General features: G+C 39.3%; 1 protein-coding gene and 1 long non-coding RNA gene across 32 annotated transcripts in view; one reads left to right on the top strand and one right to left on the bottom strand.

Annotated features, from left to right (window-relative positions):
- Positions 1-24,692, top strand: part of MYT1L (myelin transcription factor 1 like) — a 542,163-nt gene that overhangs the window by 2,197 nt on the left and 515,274 nt on the right. For 6 of the 31 annotated variants that reach the window (NM_001329847.2, XM_017003612.2, XM_017003606.2 and 3 more), the window contains exon 1: positions 2,768-3,043. The exons of 16 other annotated variants lie outside the window; for them this stretch is intronic. The gene's annotated coding sequence lies outside the window, so the exon portion shown is untranslated. Of the gene's footprint in view, positions 1-2,767; positions 3,044-4,117; positions 4,311-4,389; positions 4,909-24,692 lie in introns of those variants that run through there. 9 more of the 31 variants (NM_001329848.1, XM_017003607.3, XM_011510320.4 and 6 more) reach the window with 5 other exon arrangements.
- MYT1L-AS1 (MYT1L antisense RNA 1) lies at positions 1,971-9,847 on the bottom strand. Its single transcript, NR_024468.1, has 2 exons — positions 9,696-9,847; positions 1,971-5,060 (listed from the first exon to the last, which is right to left on the bottom strand). It is a non-coding gene; the product is annotated as an MYT1L antisense RNA 1 (long non-coding RNA).

The raw sequence follows: 24,692 nt of genomic DNA, 5'->3' as shown, positions 1-24,692 counted from the left end.
TGCCTTCCCTTTCAGCACCAGGAGCTGTCCGCAGCTGATAGCGATTGCATTCAACAGTGACTGACTTCCTCCTAGTTTATTGGCAATGTGAAAATGGCTCACTTTCATCACCTTAATGATTGTGCTAGTTGAGGTAGAAGTAGGAGAAGCCTTCATGGTCACATTTGGATGTTTTGAAGATGGTGGCAGCAAAGATATCTATACTTGAACATTTTTATTTAGTAAAGACTTTCCATCTGCCATTATACACATATTTTACTCTATTTCCAAATATTCAAACATATCAATATGTTAAAAATTACTTGTATATATGTATAGTTGTGGGTTGGAAAATTGTAAACATTATTACTTTTCAACTGGAAAATTTTATCCAAATACATGTAATTATTAATAAAATTCATCTTTGAAAAGATGCACCAGGACTATCTGGTGTCACAGTAAGGTAGAAAGTATGCATGACACACAAATTTCAACTTCTCTTGAGTTAAACTTGCATCCAACAGCAGAACTTATGCCAATTTCACAAATTTGTGTTAGAAGCTGAGATCAAGGTAAAGGCCCAATGATTTGTGACCACATATGAGTGGTGTACAAAAATTATTAAAGGAATATGAGTACCTAGTCTTCTTCGGGGTTATAAAAGCTGTCAAAGCATGACCTTAGGACTATGTGGATAGTTTCAGAGAATGAGACTTCTTTAATATGCTGTTTTCACTGTCCCTGTTATGTTTTTCACCTAATTTATTTATTTATTTTTTACTCTCTTGAAAATGTTTCTATTTTGTACCTTACTCTTGAATATACCCAATTATTTCACTGTCTGATGTTTTCTGTCTGCTTTCTGTGTCAATGTTTAATAGATTAGGGAAAAGAAATAAGTGATTATGCAATTTCAAAGATTTGTAAAGTTTTTCTATTTGTTACAATTATACTTAAAATTAAAAAATTGAGTTAATAATCTGATTATTTGTTCAGCTGCTTTTATAAATACTTTACATTTATAATTTTTAAAAGCCAATTACTTCTCTGTGAAAAATTAATTTTGTCAAGTAAATAATGTTTTCAAAGTCACATGCATAAACTAGATTTCCAACTCTACCTGTAAGCCAATTTAATTTGAGGGAGAGACATTATTTTAGAAATACATAATATACAATCTGAAAGACTTTGTTTACTTGTTATATATTTTAGTGGATACATTTTAACTTCAAACAACTTAAAGGTTTATTTACCCTTAAATATTTTATATTAAAAAAAACTCCTCTGTGGAATTAGAGGGACTAGTCAGATGCTCTTTGATAATGACCACTCTGCTTTGCACTTACAGTTTGGTTTGGCTGGGTGTCCCTTTTAGACCAGGGCTATAATTTTCAATCAATAACCAGTGTTTCCAATGCATGTTGTCCTTTGCCAGGAAGTCTACCTTGATGCAAAGTCTCACCAGAACTCTGTTCAGGAGGCAAATGAATGGTAGACTCAGAAAGAGAGATCTACAGTTTTGGTAAATTTTTATAATCTAATTACTCCATAGCGTAATTTGAGCGCAATGATGTTATGCATTTTCCTATTTCAAGTTTTTAAGAGTTCTTTTTTTGAATATCTTCTTTTTTATTTGAAAAGTTGTGTAGTATTCTTTAGAAAGGAGTAACTGAGGATAAACTTGAACAAAAACTTGCAAATAACATATTTTTCACCAAGCTAAGTTTCATCATACTGTATTCTGTACCACAACACAACACCTGACATTGATCTGCATTTCTTCCAAACAAAACTGAAGACAAAAGATACCACAAACTTGAAGAAGTAAATAGATGTAGGTTTGTGTTTGTGTGTGTGTGGTTGGGGGCAGTGTCATATCTACATATCATGGTTGCTGGTATGAAAAAGATATTTTAAATTGACATACCACCCCAATATTTAAAATATTGCCTATAGTGACCATAACTCATATGAAATAATACAAATATTCTACTTTTATAGTATTTTATTGCATGATTTTTTCTGATATTAGATTATTTAAAGGCAACAGCTATCCATTTTTTCCATCAGTGGGCTATTTCAATGCAATGTGGTTCTGTTTGTAATATCTTTGTGTCTTGTCTCTTCTCTCTCTTTCTCTCCACTTTCCTTTCTCTCTCTTCTGCCCCCTCTCTCTTTAACTTGGTCCCTGTTTGTCTGTTTTGCCACCCTCTCTTCTCTCTGTGTTTCTTTCACACCTGCATTGTTCAAGCATACACAGTGATTTTTCTATGCATGTTTCTACAATGGAAGTGTTTTTGGCTTTGACATCATAATGAGTCCTCAGGGTATCTGTAGAAGTAATCAGAGATGGCAGAGAAAATGTAAGCCAGGTGTTATAAAACTAGAAAGAATGCATGAATGCTTATTTATTAGATAGAGAAAGAGTGATAAGCATTGCTGTATTAGGCTGTTCTGCTAGGAAAATTTTCCTACCATGTACCTCTTTTAAAATAATCTCTGCTCCCCACGTGGTGATTATTGGAAAAGTTGGCGGGGGGGAATATTTTAGTCTTACTGTAAGGAGTATTGTGTTGTGAGAAGATGGAATGGTACAGGACATTCTCTTAAAGCTTTCCTTGCTTTCAGACTGCAGTGGTGTCTAGCAGGGCTCGATGGGAAGGGAATTGCAGCCTCTATAGTAACCAGTAAGTCTGGTCCCAACACATCAGGGAAGAGCTCGGTCTTCAGAGGAATTACCTCTGAGAGCTGGAAGAGGGTGTTCCTGGTAACTTGGGGCTTCTCTGTCAGTCTCCCCACGGAAACCACAGTCAGAGCTGTGCTCTGTGGAAAGCCTGCAGTGGCTGCTCCCTCGTGCTGTTCTGCTCTCGACTCTCACTCACTGTGGATAGTGGGCTGGTGGAGTGCGGGCGCCAGAGGGTAGGGGTGAATGGAATGGAAACACAGAGGGAACTGTGACCAGCACGTGCGATGGTCTCTCCACGGCAGACAGAGCCCTGCGTGGGTGAGAAGCAGACTGCGGAACAGGATTTGGCTTGATGGCCACCAGCTCTTCCACAAAAAGGTACCTCTTTCCTTTTATTGTAAAGGTTACATAGGATTTCTTTTTTTCTTAATTTGCCTGGTGGTTGCAGCTCCCAGTTCTTCTCTTAAGTACTTCAAAAATAGTTGTTTCTCCACCTGCCTGCCTATCTCCAGCTCTCATTTGATTGCATACACAACACTTCCTAAAGTCTCTTGGTTAGGCGTGTGAACGCGCCAACAATGGACCCTCTCTCAAAAGAGCTTCTCCTTCAGTGTAATGCCATTGTGGGCACTGCTATGTCTGCATGCTGCCCGGAGTTGTTGTTAAACATGAGTCTGTGTATTCAAGGCTAGTTTCCTGGGGCGAGGGTGGGAGGTGCTAAAGTAGCCTTTATGATTTAACGTAGCCTTTCATAGCGGTGAGTGTTATAGGAGAGAGGTTTGCAGAGAGTGAAACGGTATGGTCACCACCAGAGTAAAACATCTGTGGCTTGACTCAAGAAGCCATTTATAAAATCAGCACTTTTTTAAGCCAGAAAAAAATGCTAATGAACATCAGGTATCTATGTTCCCTTAGCTATTTTAAAAACCATATTAGGACTTGTCTTTTCAAAGAAAACTTTTTCTATATTTTTTTCTTCAAACAATAATAAAAGGTGAAAAATGTTTTAACTTTCTTAGACAAGTAGTTTCATAGCTTTTGTTTTAAAAGAAAACGATGCAAGAAGCTCATACTGAAACAGAATAATATAGTGAGGTTGGCAACCCGAAAACGATTTTAAGAATTGGTTAGAGTTAACTCTTGTGTCACCATTCTTTTATTTTAAGAAGTGACAGGTTTTGGAACCTCTTTTTGTTTTGCTTGGATGTTAACCAGCAATGCCATCTAAAATACTGTAGGTTCAGCTTACTTCTGTGAGGTTTCTTTGGCCACAGCATGAATTTACCATAACATCAATGATACGAGAGATATTTTTAGATATATTGCCTAGCTGGTAGCTGCTAACAGCCTGACTCCGGTATTTACAGTTCTCATCTATTACATTAAATACAGCACTGCTCATGATACACATTCTGCTCTAGAGATTTAGGGGCCTGTGGGTACAAGGCAAGCAGCATACTGCACACATCTCCACTCGTGTCTGACTGTGTTGCAAGCTTGATACACAGGAAGGTTAGAAATTACTGGTTTAATCCACAGCTGTAGCTTGAAAAATATCTAGATCAGCAGTGAAGTTCCCTCCCACCTTAGGATTTGGGGAAGTGGATATGTTTTGTGTTGCTTCAAGGAGGCAGCCTGAGACAGGGTAAGTCAGCAGGATGCTTCCGAGGCTCTTCTGCTGCAGCGATGTGGTCTCTAAGGGAGCGTGAGCCTGATGCACGCAGCACAGGCGGGACTCGCAGCCCGGCGCTGTCTGTCTGCTGCCTTTTGATGGAGGCTGCACTTCACCCGCCCGGCAGAGCGCTGTACGCATGCCCGTCTTCCCTGTCGTTTAGTGGTGTCAACTTATTAATTTCCATCTTCGACTTCAGGCCTGTTAGTTTCCTGTCTGAAAGCATTATTACTTTTGTCCATGTGGCAAAATAATTAGCATACAGATGAGAAGTGGCCCCTTGCCTGGGCGCCGGTAGAGAGAGAAGATGTGCAGTGGAAAGTTGATTGGATGAATGGAGAACAAATGGTGGGCGTTCAAAAGCATTAGAAGAGTTTTGTAGTCGTGGAGCAGGTTGGAGAATTTTCTGGGTGAGTCCCTAAGATGGAAGGCAGGGGTGGCTGCCGTGGGAACAACTGCTTGTCAGACGCTGGCTTAGCCGAAGGTGCCAAGTGCGGCTGTAGGCACAGATAATTCATTGGGACGACTTTGTTTTGCAAGTCTTGAGGCTGCTCTTTGATATCCCCTCCAGGTAAATATGTCCTGTGCTCCCTGTCTTCACCAGAGCATTTGTTCCACTTCCCAAAGTGGAGCAAAGTTGAACTCCTGATGGTCAGTAACAAAAGAATAGTCATTTGCTGCCGGTTTGGGGTAGCGGCTTGATCCGTCTTCGTGTGCATGTGCCTGAAGTGGAAATTAACTGTTTAGAGATGACTGTTTTTAGAAACTTACAGCAGCCATTATTCAATGTGTTTAATTAATATTTTCTGAAACCGTGCATCGAGACCAGCAAAATTAGCAAATGTTGTTTCAATTAAAGCCCAGACATAATTAGTTTTGACTAGTATGTATTTTTCCTAGCTGGAAGATGATTTTAGCTAATTTAACCAGCAACTTACTGGAGATTGTGAAAATTGAACTGAAGTTTCTATTGATCTGTAGAATCTACAACTAGGAAATGTGGAAATTAGCACACAGTGATACTCTGAGTTCTTTTCAGAAAAATGGAGATCATTTTTGCAAATCAGTCTTCTGAGTTGAGAAGTAAGAATAAAGAGCCTGCTGGAATCCTAATTTTCTATTGTCATCAGTGACACATTTCTTATATAATTCTGTGACTGTACTACTGCAATATGGGTGTTTTAATATTTAGTTAATTATACTTCCATGGTAGGAATTCACTGATAAATAGTTCTATCCTGTTTTAATAATTCCTATTCTCCCGAAAAGGCAAGGTTTTTCATTTTAACTGACCTAATTATTTCACCTGCTTTTTAGGTAGAACTCAAGTAGAAATTGTTATTCTTTAACTGTCTTTTTATAGATTCCTGAATATTTTAGATCACTTGATTTTATTTTGCTTTCATTTTAAGCTTTTTTTCTAAAGAGTTGCTTTACTTTAGCTGTTTGCTTTAAACAATAACAGTGAATATTTGACAGAAAATACAACTTTTGGGGGGAGGGGAAAATTTTCTGTTTAAAAAAATATATCTTTTCAAAAAAGAAAGAAACCACCTTTAATGAATCTAAACCTCAAACACAAGATATTTAAAAACATATTAACCCTTCATGTGAAGCTGCTGAAACTTGCTTTTGATCATTTTCCCTCTCATTCTGCAAGTTTCTTAGTACTCACATTGAGCTTTTTCTGCATAATAGGTAAATTATCTATTGTTTTTTCAATGTGTGTGTGTTTATACACACAGACACATTTCTTTTTCTATTTCATTTTTAAATTTGCTGGTAAACTAGAATGAAGAAAAAAATTGAGTTTTTAAAAATTTAACTCAAGCAGTTTTAAATATCAGATTGTTTTCAAGCAGATTCATGAAATCTTACCTAGAGAAAAGTCATAAAGTCATAGTTCCATTATTTTCTCATTGCTACATTTCATTTTAGAGTTGAACCAAGCTTTATATGATTAATATAGCTGCTTTTAGCTTTATGATGGTGGTTTATAACTTTCTTGGGGCAAAATATCAGCATTTACTTTTTAACCTCACCTTGTGCATTTCTATGCAGAGATCCCTGAAAGCCCCTTCTCCACGATGCTCTTTGTGCCTGGCTGCCTTCAAAGGTGGAGCCCAGCTATTTTGTTTTTTTTTTTTTAGGGTCAAAATTGTGTCATATTAGTCTCCACTTCACGGAGCCCCGCGTGCCACTCTCCGTCACATTTGTTCTCAGGCTGTGGAGCAGGCTCACGGGCAAAGACAATGAAAGGTCCCAGGACTGGAAACAGGGTGATGTGCACCTGTCTGAAAAGGTGATTTCTAAGGGAATTTTTCCCTGTCTAGTTGCACTTTAAGGTTGAGTGTCAACTTTGGAAAGAAAAGCAGCCTTTCATGGCAAAATTTTTAATCAATTGTTGTGATTCCAAGATATTAGTCCAAAGATGAAGTGCTCTTTGACTTAAGTACCCTGTGTAGGCAACATTGGACAGTGTGGGGCGTCTGCTGTCTCAGTGGGCCTGCTCTGCTCACCGAAGCCATAGAGGGCATTGCTTTGGTGGGGTTTCCACTGATTGTGAAAGAAAAAAAAAAAACAGGTAAATATTTTTTATTCAAAAGGTTATTTGACTCTATTCCTTTTAAAATTCAGTACTGTCATGTATTTTCACACTCTTAGGAGTACTATAATTCCCCTCTTCCATGATTTTGTGAGTGCGTGTATATGTGTATTTTTTAAATGCCAGTGTGAAAATGTGTGTAAGCTGACAATATTTGAGCCATAGGGTTAGTATGTGTGCCATGTAAACCTGCTTTAGATGTGTTTGTGCACTCATTAATATAGTTGAAAGAACTTTAGGACTCAATATTACATACTGACTGCTTTTTACTGAAGTCTGACTGTTTACATAGAACACTCCAATTTCTTTAAAGAAAATTACCTCAAGGATATCGGGCACTTGCTTGAGAAATTTTCAAGTGTGGAATGTCAGGTTTAGGACTCTAAATCAAACAACTCATGAATTAATAATTTATGGGGGTCTTTTTTTTTAGTACATTGACAAAGATTTTCATTATAGGATTTCTAGCTCAAACACTGTTCTGAGTGGTGCCTTCATGCCGTTATCTCAACCTAAATGCATAGTGTGTTTTAATGGCCCTCAACAGAATGGTTTTTCAAAAGTCGGCATCACCTCTTGACTCCAGGGGCTACCACACCACTGAACCCTAAAAGCAATAAACCATTCTTAAGGGCTTACTTTAAATTCGGCCCAACCTCCCCTCCCTGGTGCACGAATTCCACCAGCCTGTGCCATCTGAACAGAAGCTGAAAGCACAGAGCATTGTCGCCATGAAACAATGCTAGCCAGACTGGTTGTAGAAATAAGCGAGTCTGCAGGGCACCCCATAGAGAGCCATCAAACCGAGTCTGCTCTGGAGCTGCCTGGTAGATTGTGAACATTCGGAAATCAGTGCCGCATCTGCCGGTGGACCCTGTGCTTCTCTGAAACTCCCACCTGCCCTAATGCATCTGGGCAAGAGCTTTTCAGAATCCAGTTTCCTCCAGGATAAATTTAATATGTCTTGAGGGCCAGGCACAGGCAAATTGATTCTATCTCTGCACCAGAAGAACTCATCAACATCTGTAAGAACACAGATTTTCAACAACCCCAGGATTAGGGGATGCTATTTTGTAAAATATATTCCAAGCCTACTCCCTTCATACCTCATGCCAGCATGGCATTTTTTAATTAGGAAGTTGATTAAAAAGGGCATGGTAGACCACGGATGTATGGTCTCCTGGCATCCATCCAGCTGTTTGTTGTCTGGGTCGTGGAAAGCGTTGCTCATCACCAGTTGCAGGAGCGAGGGGGAAATGATTATAAGGGATGGCAAGAATGAAACTGTTCTGCTGTATGTGCTAATGGCAGCTGATTGTGGCTTCCTGTGAACCAGCCTTTCCTACAGATAGACTTGCTGACTTCCTTCATGAGACAGAGACCACTTGTACTTGGAAATAACTTGGAAATGTAGAAACTAGGTGTATTATTCAGTGGTTCTGATTTTTCAGTGATCAACAGGATAAGTCATAATGACTTGTATTTTCTGTATTCAAACCTGTTTTTGGCCTCATATCCTGTAGGCTGGCGTCAATGATGGTAGTTGTTCTAACAGTGTTGTGCTGTTTCTCTTCAAGAGTAACTGGTTTTTGCTTGTCTCCCCCACCCTCCAAGGGAAATTCCTTTCTTTGCTGGCTTTTTTTTTCTTTTTTTTTTTTCTAGGACTTAGAGTATATTTCACAGAAATAAAATTTTATGCCTAATTGTAGTGTTCCTATGGCTAGTGTGGTGTGAATGAGCACCATGTCATGAATTTAACCCTGTCCATCCCTCTCATCCTCTTACTGTATGAGCACTTTCGCAAGACAAAGCACACTAAAGAAAGTAGGAAAAAGACAGCCATGGATGAGGCTTGACACACTGCCAACACCAAGACCCTCATCCCCAGGGCAGAGGCTCTGGGGCTTTTACACGTCACTCTGGGAAGACACTCAGTGCTCAAGATCAGGGGACTATGTCTGCACCCCAGTGGGACTTTCCAGCCACTGGGGTAGCAGTTCTCCCTTTTGTTCTCCTTCCCTCTGAACCTACTTGCACATATATTAATTATTTTTAGATTCTGCATTTTAAAGTTTTCAGTGACAGACAAGCTGGAGTTAGCAACAATGGTTGGCAGGCAGGGGCTCTCCTCACTGTCCTCTTCTAGAAAGAAAATATCAAAGTCAATGCTGAAGAGAAAAGGCGAGACCCCTTAAGGTCAGCACCTCCCTTCCCTCTTAGTGCCATAACTGAATAATTAATACAATGTGCATATATTGAGTACCTACTATGTGCAGAGCCAAATGAGATAGAACTGAGTAACAAATTTCTGCCCCACAAAAAGTCAGGTAATGTGTGTACTTGTGTGTGTGTGTGTGCATATATATATATATATATATGCATATTTCTGATAAAGGGTAATCATAAATACTTCTAGGTTTACTTTTCTTGAATGCATTTTGAAATAGATTAAAGCATTCTTATGACTTAAGAAGAAGAGTTGAGTGAAGCCTGAGGCCCCTTTCCTGGGTAATCAGCACTTCAGGAATCCAGGTGACCATTCCAAAACTCAGTACTCAACAGCATGGCATTGTATCACCATATTCTCTATTCAACGGCACGTATGATTTCAGTGTATTGACTTCTTACAAAATCAAGAGTCACACATTCTTGAAGGTTCTGGATAGTTAGCCCTCATCCATCATGGTTTCTAAGTACACGTTCCCTGTCCCCTTCCATTATGCAGAGTTCCAACGCAGCAAGCCTTTGCTTACCTGAGAATACATGAAACAGTAAACAGAATGCTGTTTGGAGGAAAGTGTTGGTAACTGTCAGGGGTCTGTTCTGCAGTTTCTGAGCTGTTGATACCAGAGATCAACAACAGAACATTTTGGATTTGGCATGGTGAAGCCCTAGGTTATTGACTGAGGGCCAACCTTCCAAGCAAACAGGAAGATCCCCTGTGTCATATTCACTTGTCTCTGCCTTCTCTGTGACATAAGCAGTCCTGCCCCAGTGCAGACAGCTGAAAGGGGCTGCCAACCTGGTTATCCACCGGCTCACCATTGGCTGCAGAAACATCAAAACAAGGAGGAGAGGAGAATTCAAATTAGAAACTGGTCATGTATTTCAGACAATTCCAATGACTATTTGCCACATTTCCCTTGAGTCAGACCTGATTGCATATACCTGCCTATTTAGAATTAAGAATTTTGCCATTACTCCCTGTAAAAGACAAGTTAGGTTAGAATTAGCATTTTATAGTCTCTCAGAGTATGGAAATTTAAGTAGCTCAGGCATCAAAAAGCCACATGTCTTTGCTTAAAAATGGAATTCTGAGATTATATAAAGTGAGAAGGGTTGGTTGATGCTAGGTTCTTGTATATAATAGGAAATAAAATCTTAATAATTTGCTCAGATAAATTTCAGATCAATTTCTTACTCGTCCTTTGTTTAATGTGGCACATTTGGTACTGAATTAACATGTGAAATTTTCCACTGAATTTGTATTCTGAATCTTCCAAGATGTTTTGCAATTCTTTTCACAGTCCTGAGAACAAGAATGGAGATAGTTTTGCTGCCCAAGTGTTTTTTTAGCTAATATGCTGTTCCTGGGATTATATTAGCTCAAAAACAATCCTTTTTCCTAAGAGATCCACATCCATGGTGCCAGCCAAGAAATGATGTATCTGCTCTCCAGGGACAAGTTAACACACCTGTTTACAAATGGGCAAAGCCACCTGTTCATCTAGTTTTAAAGTTAATGATCAAAACAGTATCTGATCCTAGGGGTTAGTAAGAGTGGAAAGGCAAATTTGTGAGACAACAGGTAACATCTCATTTTTATTACCTAACATTTCAATATATGTATATTAAATGTGGAATTAGTTAGAAAATACACTAAGCCTAAGATACATATTCCAAATGGTAAATATCAACATTCCAAGGATTAGATGCAGAAGTTGTGTAAGGAGTAGTAGAGTCAATGATAGTGTAAATTTCATGCTTTACATTTTCAAAATCCAACATGTGCAAATTGAATCATGTATTTTAGCCTCAAAGGCATAACTGAAGTGTGAGGCTTGCTGATTGGGCAGTCAGCATTGCAAAAACGGCCTCTATCAATAAAAAATCAGTAAACGATTTTCACACATCTCGTCCTTCCTCCTACAAGATCGAGTCTCTTTCCCTTCCTCCTTTGACTGGGGAGCATGTGGCTTGGGCCCTTATAACAACATGGCCTCCAATTTTTTGGCTTGCATTAGAGTCCCTCTTGGCACCTGCTCTTAGATTTTTAACTAAGGGCACGGTCAGGAGGATGATTACAAAATCATTTTACTGATTATTTTGGTCTCTTCCAAGAGTCAGAGAGACTTTACTCTGCCTGGTTTGGTTATATCAGCTAGGTTGCACATGTGCTATAAGTTTCTGACTAACTCTCCAAAATATTAAAAATGACCCATGACACAGGGAAACTTCATTTTTCCATTACTTTCCAGGAGGATATTTTTACCTAATATTAAACATTTTTTCATTTTTTATTTTTATTTTTTGTCTTTTTTAATTTTCTAAGTGAGATTTTCCACACATAGTCAACCTAGACAATGACATAAAGTCCCTATGAAGGAGCCCTGCATTGAGAAGACCTTCCTCCTAGGTAGCTCTCTAGAGAATTCGGAGATGACTTGAAACAAATGATTGCAGTTTTCTGCCTCTCGGTGCCCTTGTTTAAAGTGAGGGAGTCCCAGTTCTAACACTTGCTGACTGCGTGTTTGGCATCTTCACATGGACAGCAATCTCAAAGGCATTACTGTGTAACAGTAGCTGTCATGCTATCAGCAGGACCACACCGACGGGCCCCTTGTTTGTCACCATTTTGCAGAGACGTGCAAATGCAAACCCAACACCAGGAACCTGAGTATTTAGAGTAGATGCTATTGTTTGATTGATGAGTCTAATCTGGGACTACCAAGGTCAGGCAGGTTGACGTGAAATTCATCTCATCAAATGTTTCATGGTCATCCAGAAAAATCACTGGACTGGCCGGGCATGGTGGCTCGCACCTATAACCTCAGCACTTTGGGAGGCCAAGATGGGCGGATCACGAGGTCAGGAGATGGAGGCCATCCTGGCTAACACGGTTAAACTCCGTCTCTATTAAAAATCCAAAAAAAAAAAAATTGGCTGGGCATGGTGGTGGATGCCTGTAGTTCCAGCTACTTGGGAGGCTGAGGCAGGAGAATTGCTGGAACCCTGGAGGCGGAGATTGTAGTAAGCCGAGATCACGCCACTGCACTCCATCCTCGGTGACAGAGCGAGACTCTGTCTCGAAAAAAAAATAAATAAATAAAAGGAAAGAAAAGAAAAATCACTGGACCATGTGACACTCAGACACGTAACTGAAACCTAACTTTCCCTTAAGTTATTTTCTCTATTGATTTTATACATTTTGTAACCAGAATTTTATCTTACTTTACACAGAAATAATGCCAGCTGTAGGTGGTGGGTTGCCTTGACAATTCACAGAAACGTACGTGCCGTGGCAGCTCTGCAGTTACTACTTGGTTTCTCTCGAACCACCCTGGTGACTACATGAGTCTTCCTAACTTCTCAGGACGTAGGCCAGGGAGATATATGCCATTAACATGGCTTGGCATGATCCTTAAGGAAATAGCCCCATTGGCTTTATGTCTTACCTTTCTTTTTAAAGGCAGTATTTAGGGTATGCACAGGTTAAGCAGGAATGCATTTTTAGCAGCTAAAATCTATTATACAATCCATGTCCTACTTCTGGTCTCCTAGAGCAGAAGGCACCCAAAATGACAAGCAAGAACTCGTGGGTACAAATAAACACTAGGTTTTTACCATGGTAGCCGATGGCATGTTCTCACCAACTCAAAAGAGTGGGCCTGAATATTGTCCCCAAAATATCCCAGCGAAATAGAGAAGAACATCAGGCCCACAGTGGGAAAAGGAAAGGAGTCTGAGAAATCAAGCTCATGTTGAGGTTGGGCAGTGGTCTCTCTCCACGCCTGAATCTCAGACTCTTGACCGGAGTCAAAGGAGCCTTTCCAGGTCACTATTACCAAGGAGGCTCCACTGAGAAAATTCAAACACAGATATGTTTTATTTAACACAGCAACCCACTATTTCAAAAGTGCAAATTTCTACATGTGGAACTTTTCTCTAAGTATTGGGAAATGCTTCTCATATGAAAATAAATGGAGAGGTGTAATAAAAGAAAGGTAACTATGTATAGAATGAATGGGGCTGGAAAGAAAACAAATGCAGAAACATTTTTATCCATTTGAAATTAAAAACAGTAAAAAAATTTACAGGCAATAGAAATATGCTTAAGACATACAATTTGGCTATTTCTGATTCTTACTTAGAGTGAGATGTTGTAAACATAGACCCACTAGAAAACTCATACTTTTGGAAGATCATAAAATGAGTAATGTTAAGTGCCAAGGACCCATACTCTCTTGTACACAAATTCAAACTGTTGATAAATTATATTGAGAAACTAATAAAAACAGACTATCAGGAAGGCACCCTGAAAACAATAATAACAATGGCTAATACTTAGTGGGTACAGTAAATTTAGTGCTTTCCTCATGGGTTATATCACATAAAGCCCACAAAAATCTATAGGATTGTTATAGGCACCAGTATTATCTTCATAATCATAAAATAAGTAAACATATTCATTAAAGAGTTCAGGCTATCTAGGATATATACTGTTTAAGAAACCAAACCCCCAATACAAAGCTTTTCATAGACAGAGAATATATTGATGATTTTCTACATCCTCTATTTAATGCTTACTTTGGCTGCCGACAATGATTTTCAATAGACCAAACACTTATTTACTGAATGTCTGTAGGTGCAAATCTTAAGCCAGTGTAAGGCATAATCCTTGCCTTTAAGAACTGAAAATCCAGCTGAGGACCCAAGACATAACCAGAGAAAAGGTTATAATATCAACAATTCCCCCAAAAGTTTTCAGGGACAGTTGACACACTAACAGAAAAGTGCTGTGTGCTCTGGAGTTCCCCATGTGAGTCTCTGAAGTGTCCCTGAGATAGAAAGCACAGAGAAGCTTTACATTTAAGTCTTTAATCCATATTGAGTTAATTTTTGAATAAGATATAAGGAAGGGGTCCAGTTTCAATTTTCTGCATATGGCTAGCCAGTTTTCCTAGCACCATTTACTAAGTAGGGAATCCTTTCTCCATTGCTTGTTTTTGTCAGGTTTGTTGAAGATCAGATGGTTGTAGATGTGCAGTCTTATTTCTGAGATCTCTATTTTGTTCCATTGCTCTATGTGTCTGTTTCTGTACCAGTACCATACTGTTTTCATTACTGTAGCCTGGTAGTATAGTTTGAAGTTGGGTAGCATGATACCCCCAGCTTTGTTCTTTTTGCTTAGGATTGTCTTGAGGGAGGGAGAACATTGTGATAAATAGCTAATACATGTGGAGCTTAATACTTAGGTGATGGGTTGATAGGTTCAACAAACCATCATGGCACATGTTTACCTATGTAACAAATCTGCACATCCTGCACATGTATCCCAGAACTTAAAATTAAATTAAATTAAATTTTAAAAAAAGAAATCACAGAAGGGAAAGCCATTTGTCAGGGCCAGTGGCCACTAGAACTGGTGAACATGTGGAATCTGGGATGAGCCCTGAAAACCAGTTTAATTTGGATACATGGGGAAAAAGGACCAGGCCTTCTATATTACTATGAACATGGTATGTGTGGTAAATAGATGTAGTGTTCTGAATGGTCATTATTTAATGATATTTGATAGTGTGTAATTAAGTATTCATTCTGTTATATTACCTATGATTTGTATATGATTCACAGTGACATGGGGGGAGTTATACATAAATATATATGGCAGGCAGTTTCATTTGGAAAACTATTAATGGTTTGCTTTTTAAAAAGTTTCCAAAAATGCATATCATTTCATTCTATGATCTGAACATATGACAGTCCAGAAGTTTATTGGTTGGTGGAGTTTTGTTTCTTATTGAATGATTTACAAGATGATTAAAGAGTTACTTGATCTCATGGTACGCAAAAATAACTATAAGAACTGTCATAAAACAGCTAAAAACATTTAAGAAAATAATGAGAATAGTTATTTCTCCTTTGCTATGAAAATCACTATGTCCAAATAAGAACTTTTTTCTTTCTTCTTCACAGAGAGAGGTATGTTAGAAAAATAAACATATAATGGTCTCTAAACTAGAGTGAGGGTTGGGCCCCAGCGTTATTTATAAACGTATGTATCGAGATAAGTAAGCTATTTAATTCAGGTTTCAACATGGCTTTGGATTTAGTAAGAGCTCATGCTTCTAGACTAAGATCAAATTTAAACATGACTTGCAGAATGTATAGTGTCTCTAAAAGTAAGAGTATAAATCATATTTTACTTAAATTTTTTAGGAGAAGACCAAGACAGTATTATATGGTATATAGTATATAGCCACACCCTTGGCACTTTACTATAGTAGTGAATTCATCCCCCATTTCCTGTGTGATATCAAGTAGGGTCTTTCCCTATATTGAGTCTTTGAAGAGAAATGTTCTATCTTCCTCCTTATACCATTTCCATTAAAAAAAAAAACAGGTATTTTAAACTAATTTCAAACTAAGTAAAGCCTATTCAGAATGTGAGATTTGTTATCTGCTTTCAGATCCCACTTAAATTAACCAGGCATTATCTCTACTGAGCCCCAGTTCCTCTCCAGAGACTGACTCCTGAAGCCCTTGCTATACCCACCTCTGAGCATGGGTTAAGACAACCGGTAGTGGAGACAGCACATTTTAAGGGCCAGTGAACCGCTGATTGCACTTGATTTTCCAAGATTTTTTTTTTTTATCAGCTGAGATCTTCAGAAAGCAATGTACTGAATTTTATCAGCTTTACTTTTTATAAAGATGCTGTTACTATGCCAAGGACATGGAGAAAAAGCTCCTTCTTTCACCCTGCCTTAATTGATGTATTGAAGGTAGTGAATACACGATATGAATCCTTCAGTCATATATATTCTGAAAAGAACACAAATTGTAATTTCTTCAGCTCTAAGTTCATTGCTATTTTCATTCTTTTCTTCTTCTCCTCTGCCCAGGACACTGACAATTTTTGAATCCTCTGCTTCACTCATTCTTCAAACAATAGCCACTCAACCATCAGCTAATTCATCAAGTAGCCAAAGATACATTCCTCTCTCTCTGTGACAGCCTGCTGTTCTTCCTCTCTGCTTGCTTCTGGCCAGAACCCCCCTTTCTTCCCATTTCTCCACACCCCAGCTTACAATAGTCTTCTACCACCTCTTTTGAGTGAAATGTCCTTGATGCAGCAATGAATATGTTCTCCTCTGTCCTTGGTTAGCCTAATGCCGACTTTGTCTCTATCTCCATGGGATCCAAACATAAGAAGAGTGGGAATGGGGTAGAAAGCATAGAATGAAACTGTCAAAAAAGCTACTAGTGATGAAAATACTTAGTAAACCTCAGAAGTGTTATATTCTTTTTTTTCTCACTCTGTCACCCAGGCTGGAGTGCCATGGTGCAATCACAGCTCACTGCAAGCTCTTCCTCCCACGTTCAAGTAATCCTCCCACCTCAGCCTCCTGAGTAGCTGGGACTGCAGGTGCATGTCACCCCACCTGGCTAATTTTTGAATTTTTTTTATAGAGATGGGGTTTCACCATGTTGCCCAGGCTGGTCTTGAACTCCTGAGCTCGAGCGATCCACCTGTCTCGGCCTCTCAAAGTGCTAGGATTACAGTCATGAGCCACTACCCTGGGCCATAGAAGTGCATGCAGGTGAAAGAGAAAGGGAGAGATAGAGAATAAATTGTTTCTCAGTCACTAAGGAAAGGAAACAACCTCATCAGAAGCCAAAGACAGAGACACTGGGAAGGGAGGTGAACAGTCTGGTACCAAACATAAGCGGAACAGAATGGGGAGGGCTGGCCAAGGGAGCATGAGGAGCATCACACAGGCGACTTTGTTCTCCTTTCCACAAGTCCCCTTTCCAAACCCCAGTAGCTAGAGGTGCTGTGTAAAGTCTACAGCTGCAGTCTCTCTTCACTGTCACCCACAAATCTAGGCTTGTTTCCCCAACAGCAGCATTGCTGCACACACAATGTGACCTACAATGCTTGTCATTGAGTGTTATGATTCATTTGCACTCTGTGAGGTAGGTGGAGGACCTAAATGTGGCAAAGAAATGTATTTGGAATCCCAAACTGTTTGTGCATAACTTGTTAATACATTGAAGCCAGTGACACTACCTCATTTATGTTCCAGACAGCTGAAGTGACTGTTTCAAGTCACCGTAGGCCAAATATACAAGGTTTTGGGGTAAAACGAGGGCCTGGCGTGGGTGGGAACAGAGGCCTTGCATGCTCCCTTATTTGTTCCTGCTCCCCTATCTTGCAGCAATGTACATCTGTCCAAGAGCCAGCCATAGTTTGAGAAGAGAGATGGGGGGAGGACCGACCTTCTCTCCAAGCATGCACAACACTCCTGTTCACACGGAGGCCAACCTGAATGGTGCCCCCCAAAGTCGTGTGACAGAAGAGATCATTCTCATTCTTTAGATCACAGCCTCCGGTGCTTCATTTAATAACAGGAAGGTAGCTCCAGGGCTCTCAGCTTATATACCCATCTGAGACCAACATTATTGTACATCTCACATCTTGGGATCTCTTTCCAAGTTAGATAAGGAGAACTGGAGAATGTTTATTAGATAAGGCAGAGCAGTAGCCTGATCCAGGCCGCTCAGCTGCATCCTTGTCTAGATACATCAGCATAGAATATCCAAGTTGGACACACACATCTGTGTGATTTGGTCTGGAGGAAGATACAACATGGTTCGTGTCTTAATTCTCATGCATTGTCAGCTTGGGTTTGACATCAGCCTCCTTTTCTGACTCTTATGTGGTCTTGGTTATCAAACCTTTAAGTTTCTTACATGTCATTTGTAGTTTTGAAATCAAATCCTTGCCTGTGTTCAGATCCGGGGTCTGGAGGGACCACAAGAAACAGCTGAGACCTTGGGGTGTGGGGAATGGGTACAGTATCAAATGCCAGCACTTCAGGGTTGACCCAATTGGGGAAAGGCAGTCACAGATCCATGAAGCAGAATATTTCTTCATTTTTCTATTTGTTTGTTTTATATTTTCTTTGGTTGGATAGTTGGGTAAAGGAATGTTGTTGTGAGCCCTCTTTCTGCTGAAAGATATTTATGGAATTTTTCTTTCATTCATTTTTTCAACCAACTCTTTACCTTGTTAGATGCTAGGGATTATAAGAAAGTGAGTCACAACCGCCCGTGGGTCTCAGATATTTTATAGACCAACAGGGAAGGAAAGACAAATTTATAGATAACTGTATAATTGTTTGGACTTTGATAGAAGTGGTAAATATAAGTTAGGTGTTAAAATTTTCTGAAAGGAGGGAGACACAATGTCAAGCCAGGCTGGAGTGGGGATAACATATAAAAGATATTGTTTAAAATAATCTTTGAAGAAAACGTAGGGTTCTAGCAGCTAATTATAGTACAAAAGCTCATAGAAGAGAATACACATGGCTTCTCTAGGGAATGATTTAGAGGAAGTTTTTGATTAGACAACAGAGCATCAATAGAGATGTAGTAGAGAGTAGTATAGTGTACTGAAGTGTAGATGGAGTATAGATAAAGTATACTGAAGTGTAGATGGAGTATAGATAAAGTATACTGAAGTGTAGGTGGAGTTTAGATAGAGTATACTGAAGTGTAAGTGGAGTATGGGTAGAGTGTACTAAAGTATAAGTGGAGTATAGATAAAGAACAGAAAAGTGTAGGTGGAGTCTACATAGAGTGTTCTGATGTGTCAGTGAAGTATAGGTAGAGTATGCTGAAATGTAACTGGAGTATGGGTACAGTATACCAATGTATAGGTGGAGTATAGATAGAGTATACTGAAGTGTAGGTGGAGTATAGATAAAGTAAACTGAAGTGTAAGTGGAATATAGATAGAGTGTACTAAAGTGTAAGTGGAGTCTAGGTAGAGAACATAAAAGTGTAGGTGGAGTCTACATACAGTGTACTAACATGCCAGTGAAGTATACATAGAGTATATTGAAGTGTGAGTGGAGTATGGGTACAGTATACCAATGTGTAGGTGGAGTATAGATAGAGTATACTGAAGTGTAGGTGGAGTATAGATACAGTATACTGAAGTGTAAGTGGAGTATGGGTAGAGTGTGCTAAAGTGTAGGTGGAGTATAGGTAGAGAGCAGTAAAGCATAGGTGGAGTCTATATAGAGTATGCCGAAGTGCAAGTGGAGCATAGATAGGGTATACTAAAGTGTAGGTGGAGTATAGACAGAGCATACTGAAGTTGTATGTAGAGTATAGATAGAGTATACTGAAGTGTAGATGGAGTATAGGTAGAGAAGAGTAAAGTTTAGGTGAAGTAGAATGTACTGAAGTACAGGTGGAGTATGGGTAGAGTATATCAAAGTGTAGGTGGAGTGTAGATGATAGAGTACACTGAAGGTGGAGTATAGATAAAGTATACTGAAGTGTGGGTAGAGTATAGGTAGAGTATAATGAAGTGTAAGTGGAGTATGAGTAGAGTGTACTAAAGTGTAGATTGAGTATAGGTAGAGAACAGTAAAGTGTAGGTGGAGTCTATGTAGAGTATACCAAAGTGCAGATGAAGCATAGAGAAGGTATACTAAAGTGTAGGTGGAGGATAGACAGAGTATACTGAAGTGTAGATGGAGAATAGATAGAGTATACTGAAGTGTAGATAGAGTATAGATAGAGTATACTGAAGTGTAGGTGGAGTATAGGTAAAGTATACTGAAGTGTAGATGGAGTATAGATAGAGAACAGTAAAGTTTAGGTGGCATAGAATGTACTGAAGTGCAGGTGGAGTATGGGTAGAGTATACCTAAGTGTAGGTGGAGTATGGATAGAGTATGCTGAAGTGTAGGCAGAGTATGGTTAGAGTATATTGAAGTGGGTGGAGTATGAGTAGAGTACACTGAAGTGTAGATGGAGTACAGGTAGAGAAAAGTAATGTGTAGGTGAGGTCTACATAGAATGTACTGAAGGACAGGGGTAGTATAGGTAGAGTGTACTGAAGTGTAGGTGAAGTATAGGTAGAATATAATAAAGTGTAGGTGGAGTAAGGATAGAATGTACTGAAGTATAGGTGGGGTGCAGGTAGAGTATCCTGAAGCACAGGGAGAGTATAGATAGAATATGCTGAAGTGTAGGTGGGATATAGGTCGAATGTACTGAAGCATAGCTGGAGTAAAGGTAGAATATAGTAAAGTGTAGGTGAAATAGGGATACAATGTACTGAAGGTATGGGTAGAGTGTACTGAAGTGTAGGTAGAGTGTAGGTAGAATATAGTGAAGTGTAGGTAAGGTATAGATAGAGTATACTAAAGAGTAGGTAAGATATAGGTAGAGTGTACTGAAGTGTAGGTGAAGTATAGGTAGGTTATACGGAAGTATAAGTGGAGTATGGGTATAATGTACTGAAGTGTAAGTTAAGTATAGGTAGAGTATAGTGAAGTGTAGGTGGAGTATGGGTAGAATATACTGAAGTGTAGGCAAGGTATATGTAGAGTGTACTGAAGCATAGTTGGAGTATAGATAGAGTATATCAACTAAAGCATAGGTGGAATATAGGTAGAGTATACTGAAGTGTAGGTGAAGTATAGGTAGTTTATAGTGAAGTATAGGTGGAGTATGGGTACAATATACTGAAATGTAGGTGAAGTATAGGTAGAGTATAGTGAAGTGTAGGTGGAGTATGGGTAGAACGTACTGAAGTGTAGGCAAGGTATAGGTAGAGTGTACTGAAGCATAGGTGGAGTGTAGATAGAGTATACCGAAGCGTAGGTGGAGTATAGGTAGAGTGTACTGAAGTGTAGGTGAAGCATAGGTAGATTATAGTGAAGAGTAGGTGGAGTATGGGTAGAATGTGCTGAAGTGTAGGTAAAGTATACGTAGAGTGTACTGAAGTGTAGGTGGAGTATAGGTAGAGTGTACAGAAGTATAGATGAAGCATAGGTGGAGTATAGAGTATACTAAGGCATAGGTGGAGCATAGGTAGTGTACTGAAGCGTAGGTGGAGTGTAGGTAGAGTGTGCTGAAGCATAGGTGGAGTATAGGTGGAGTGTACTGAAGTGTACATGAAGTATAGGTGGAGTATAGATAGAGTGTACTGAAACATGGGTGGAGTATAGATAGAGTATACTGAAGCATAGGTGGAATATAGAGAGAGTACTGAAGTATAGGTGGAGTATAGATAGAGTGTACTGAAACATGGGTGGAGTATAGATAGAGTGTACTGAAGCATAGGTGGAATATAGAGAGAGTACTGAAGTGTAGGTAAGGTATAGATAGAATGTACTGAAACATGGGTGGAGTATAGATACAGTATGCTGAAGCATAGGTGGAGTATAGGTAGAGTGTACTGAAGTGTAGGTCCTGGAGATCACGAGTGTCATACTTACAATAGTCTCTATGCGATAAGTTTATGACTTTGTTCTCTCAATAATGTGAAATTACTGAAGGTTTTTGTATAGTTGAATGGCAAGGTCAGAGCTCTTCTTTGGGATAATTAGTCTGGCAGCCAATCAGTGGCTACTTCCTGCCAATTCTATCTCTAAAATTGTCCTCCCAAATGTTTTATCCCTGCCATTTCTTCCATCATTACTTTAGAGTAGCCTGTCATTATCTTCATTCTGGACTTTTAATAGTAGCCATGACGCCACACACCCCCACTATCACCCACACTCTTATAAATGAATTCTATATTCTGTTTTCAGATCAATTATTGCAAAGTACAGCTTTGGCGTTTTTCTGCTCAAACAATACCAGAGTCTTTCTATTTCATACAGAAATAAACCCAACACCTTACCCCACTCTTTGAGGTAATTCCCCGCCCATTCTCAAGCATGCTTTCTATCCCTGCATTATGCTCATCTATTTCAAATATTGCCGTGAGGACTGGGCCAAACACTATTCATTGTCTGTGCTTCGATGACTCACACTGTTACTTCTGCAATGTCTTTCTCTGGTGTCTATGCAAACACACCCTATTCACTCTTCAAAGTCTGGTTAAAATGCCACTTTTCCACATAGCCCTCTCTGTTCCTTCCAGATGAATTCTAGCCCTTTTCTTTTGAACTTTAGCAAGGTGTATTTTTATGATCCTTATCATTGTCTACCTTGCATTGATAGCTATTTATATAATGGTGTAACCTACCCTATGAGGCTATGAAACACTGTTCTTCATAGATGTATATTCCTATCAGAAATGTTGGACATAGTTGGTTCTCAGTAAATCTCTGTTGGTGTGAAGAGAGAATAGGGTCAGGACTGAATGTGGAACTCTCTTTAGTGCTGTTGCTGTGACCAGAGCACCATCATTTGAGGGACCTTCTGTCCTGGGTTTTCCAGGCATTCTGATTCACAGTGAGGTTACCTCTTCTGAAACTGGTGATCACCTCTCTTTGATCTGTGTTATGTAGGGTACCTCGATATTTGGAAATAGGCATGTTGCATTGCATGGAAAGATATTCCCAAGGCCCTTAGGACACATGAGTGCATGTGACCAGCTGTTTTGCTGCGTTTCTGGGAGACTTACTGTGACAATGATGTGGAATAAAGATTCCAGGAGCCAGACGTCCAGACTCCTATTTGAAAACCTTGGGATTCTACACACAGCATTTTACTTTACCTACTTATGTATGTTCTGTCTCATTCTATTTCCTTTGGACCATTTGATACCACTTAAAAAACAATAGTTGTGCATCTGCCTCTTGAGTTCAAGCAACTGAGAAGGACCCTTGAAAACACAAACTCCTGCAGCTTATTCACAGCAATCAATGTTAATGATGAGAGTGGAAGTTGAATTGAAATACTGGAGAGGAAGTCTTCCTTTTTCTCAATACTTTGTCCCACCAGGGCAAAACCTGGGATGAGGAAAAGAGTCTGGGCACAAAATTCCAGGAGTCTTCACACTCGGGTTCATGGCAAAGAAAGAAGCCTTTGACCTTGCTCCTGTTCCAGGATCAGAAATGTCACCATTCAGATTTTAAAATGAAGGGGTCATTGACATTAAGTGGGACAGATGAACACTGGCTCCCGAAGATGCCATTGTCCAGAAATAGGCAGCCATTTGGTATGTAATACGGTTTGGCTCTGTGTCCCCACCCAACTCTCATGTTGAACTGGAATCATCAGTGTTGGAGAGGGAGGTGATTGGATCATGGGGGCAGTTTCTCCCTTGCTGTTATTGTAAGTGAGTTCTCATGAGATCTGGTTGTTTGAAAGTGGGCCACACTTCCCACTTCACTCTTTCTCCCCTTCCACCACGTGAAGATGCACCTGCTTCCCCTTCACTCTTCCACCATGATAGTAAGTTTCTTGAGTCCTCCCCAGTCATGTATCCTGTACAGCCTGTGGAGCTGTGGTTCAATTAAACCTCTTTTCTTTATAAATTTCCCAGTCTCAGGTAGTTCTTTATAGCAGTGTGAGAATGGACTAACACAAGATTTTTGCTAGTTCTTTCTACAACAGTGATCTTAGTAGCAGGGCAGTCTCAGTGAAGTGCCTGCTTCTAAGGTAATAAGGAATCCTCCCTGTTTAATGATAATTTTTAAAACTAAAAGTTACTTTAGTATTTAATACAAGTTAACTTTTTTAGGGAAAAGAGATATTTAGATGTTGCACTTCATTTCTGTGTATTTTAAACCAAGTGTTGGTTCAGGGCACACATTTCAGCCATCAACTGTAGGAATGAATATAATCACCTTGGTCCAATATATTCCACTGTGAAATGTTCTTTGCATACACTGCCTGAAGTTTTTAACTGGAATTTGTAGTATCCTTTACATTAAATGCCTGGGCTTTTCTTCAATTGTGGTGAGTTATATAGGCTTTGCAGAGATTTGTGATGTAAGTGTGCCTCCTTCATAATCAATTTTACCTTATCTCCAAAGCAAGTCCAAATTCCCAGTATCAAAAAAATAAACTTAAAAAATGTTTTATTTAGCCCAATATAGTAAATAATAATCATTTTAATATATAAACAGTACAGGATAATTTTAATGAGATATCTTATACTTCTATGCAAACTTCAAATCTAAGTATGTATTGTACACTGAAAGTACATCTCAACTCAAACTGGCCACATTCCAGGGCTCAAGAGCCCATGTGGCTAGTGGCACCCACAAGACAGTTCATTCTTAGTGATCGTTTCTTCCTAATGCCATGCCTGCTCTTTCAGTATCTAGAAAGTACACTAGAGGGTACCCATATAAATATTTTAGTGAGATGCATTTTCCAGGGTTGGCAAACTATGGTCTGTATGCCAAATCCAGACAACTTGCTGTTTTTGTAAAGTTTTTCTGAAGCAGCCATGGCCATTCATTTGTGTGTTGCCTATGACTGGGCTTGAGTTGCAGAATACATATTTCCAAGGCTGCTAGACTTCCAGTGATACAGACAGAGCAGCAACCTGCTCCCTGAAACTTCACCACAAGCAAGCTAAAAAGCATTAAAAGATTAAGGAAGAAAAGAAAAGTTACCTAGTGCTCATTATTAAATAAAAATGAAGAGGATGATGAGGATCATTAGCACAGACAAGACACTTGGTGTGGACTATAGAGAGAGGTTTAAGTCATCGTCCTCACTTCAGAGTACAACTGATGTTACTCTTCCCCTGCTAAGCC

Source organism: Homo sapiens, chromosome 2 (genome assembly GCF_000001405.40).
Source record: "Homo sapiens chromosome 2, GRCh38.p14 Primary Assembly".
Classification (NCBI taxonomy): Eukaryota; Metazoa; Chordata; class Mammalia; order Primates; family Hominidae; genus Homo; species Homo sapiens.
This window is presented reverse-complemented; position numbering and strand designations above follow the sequence as displayed.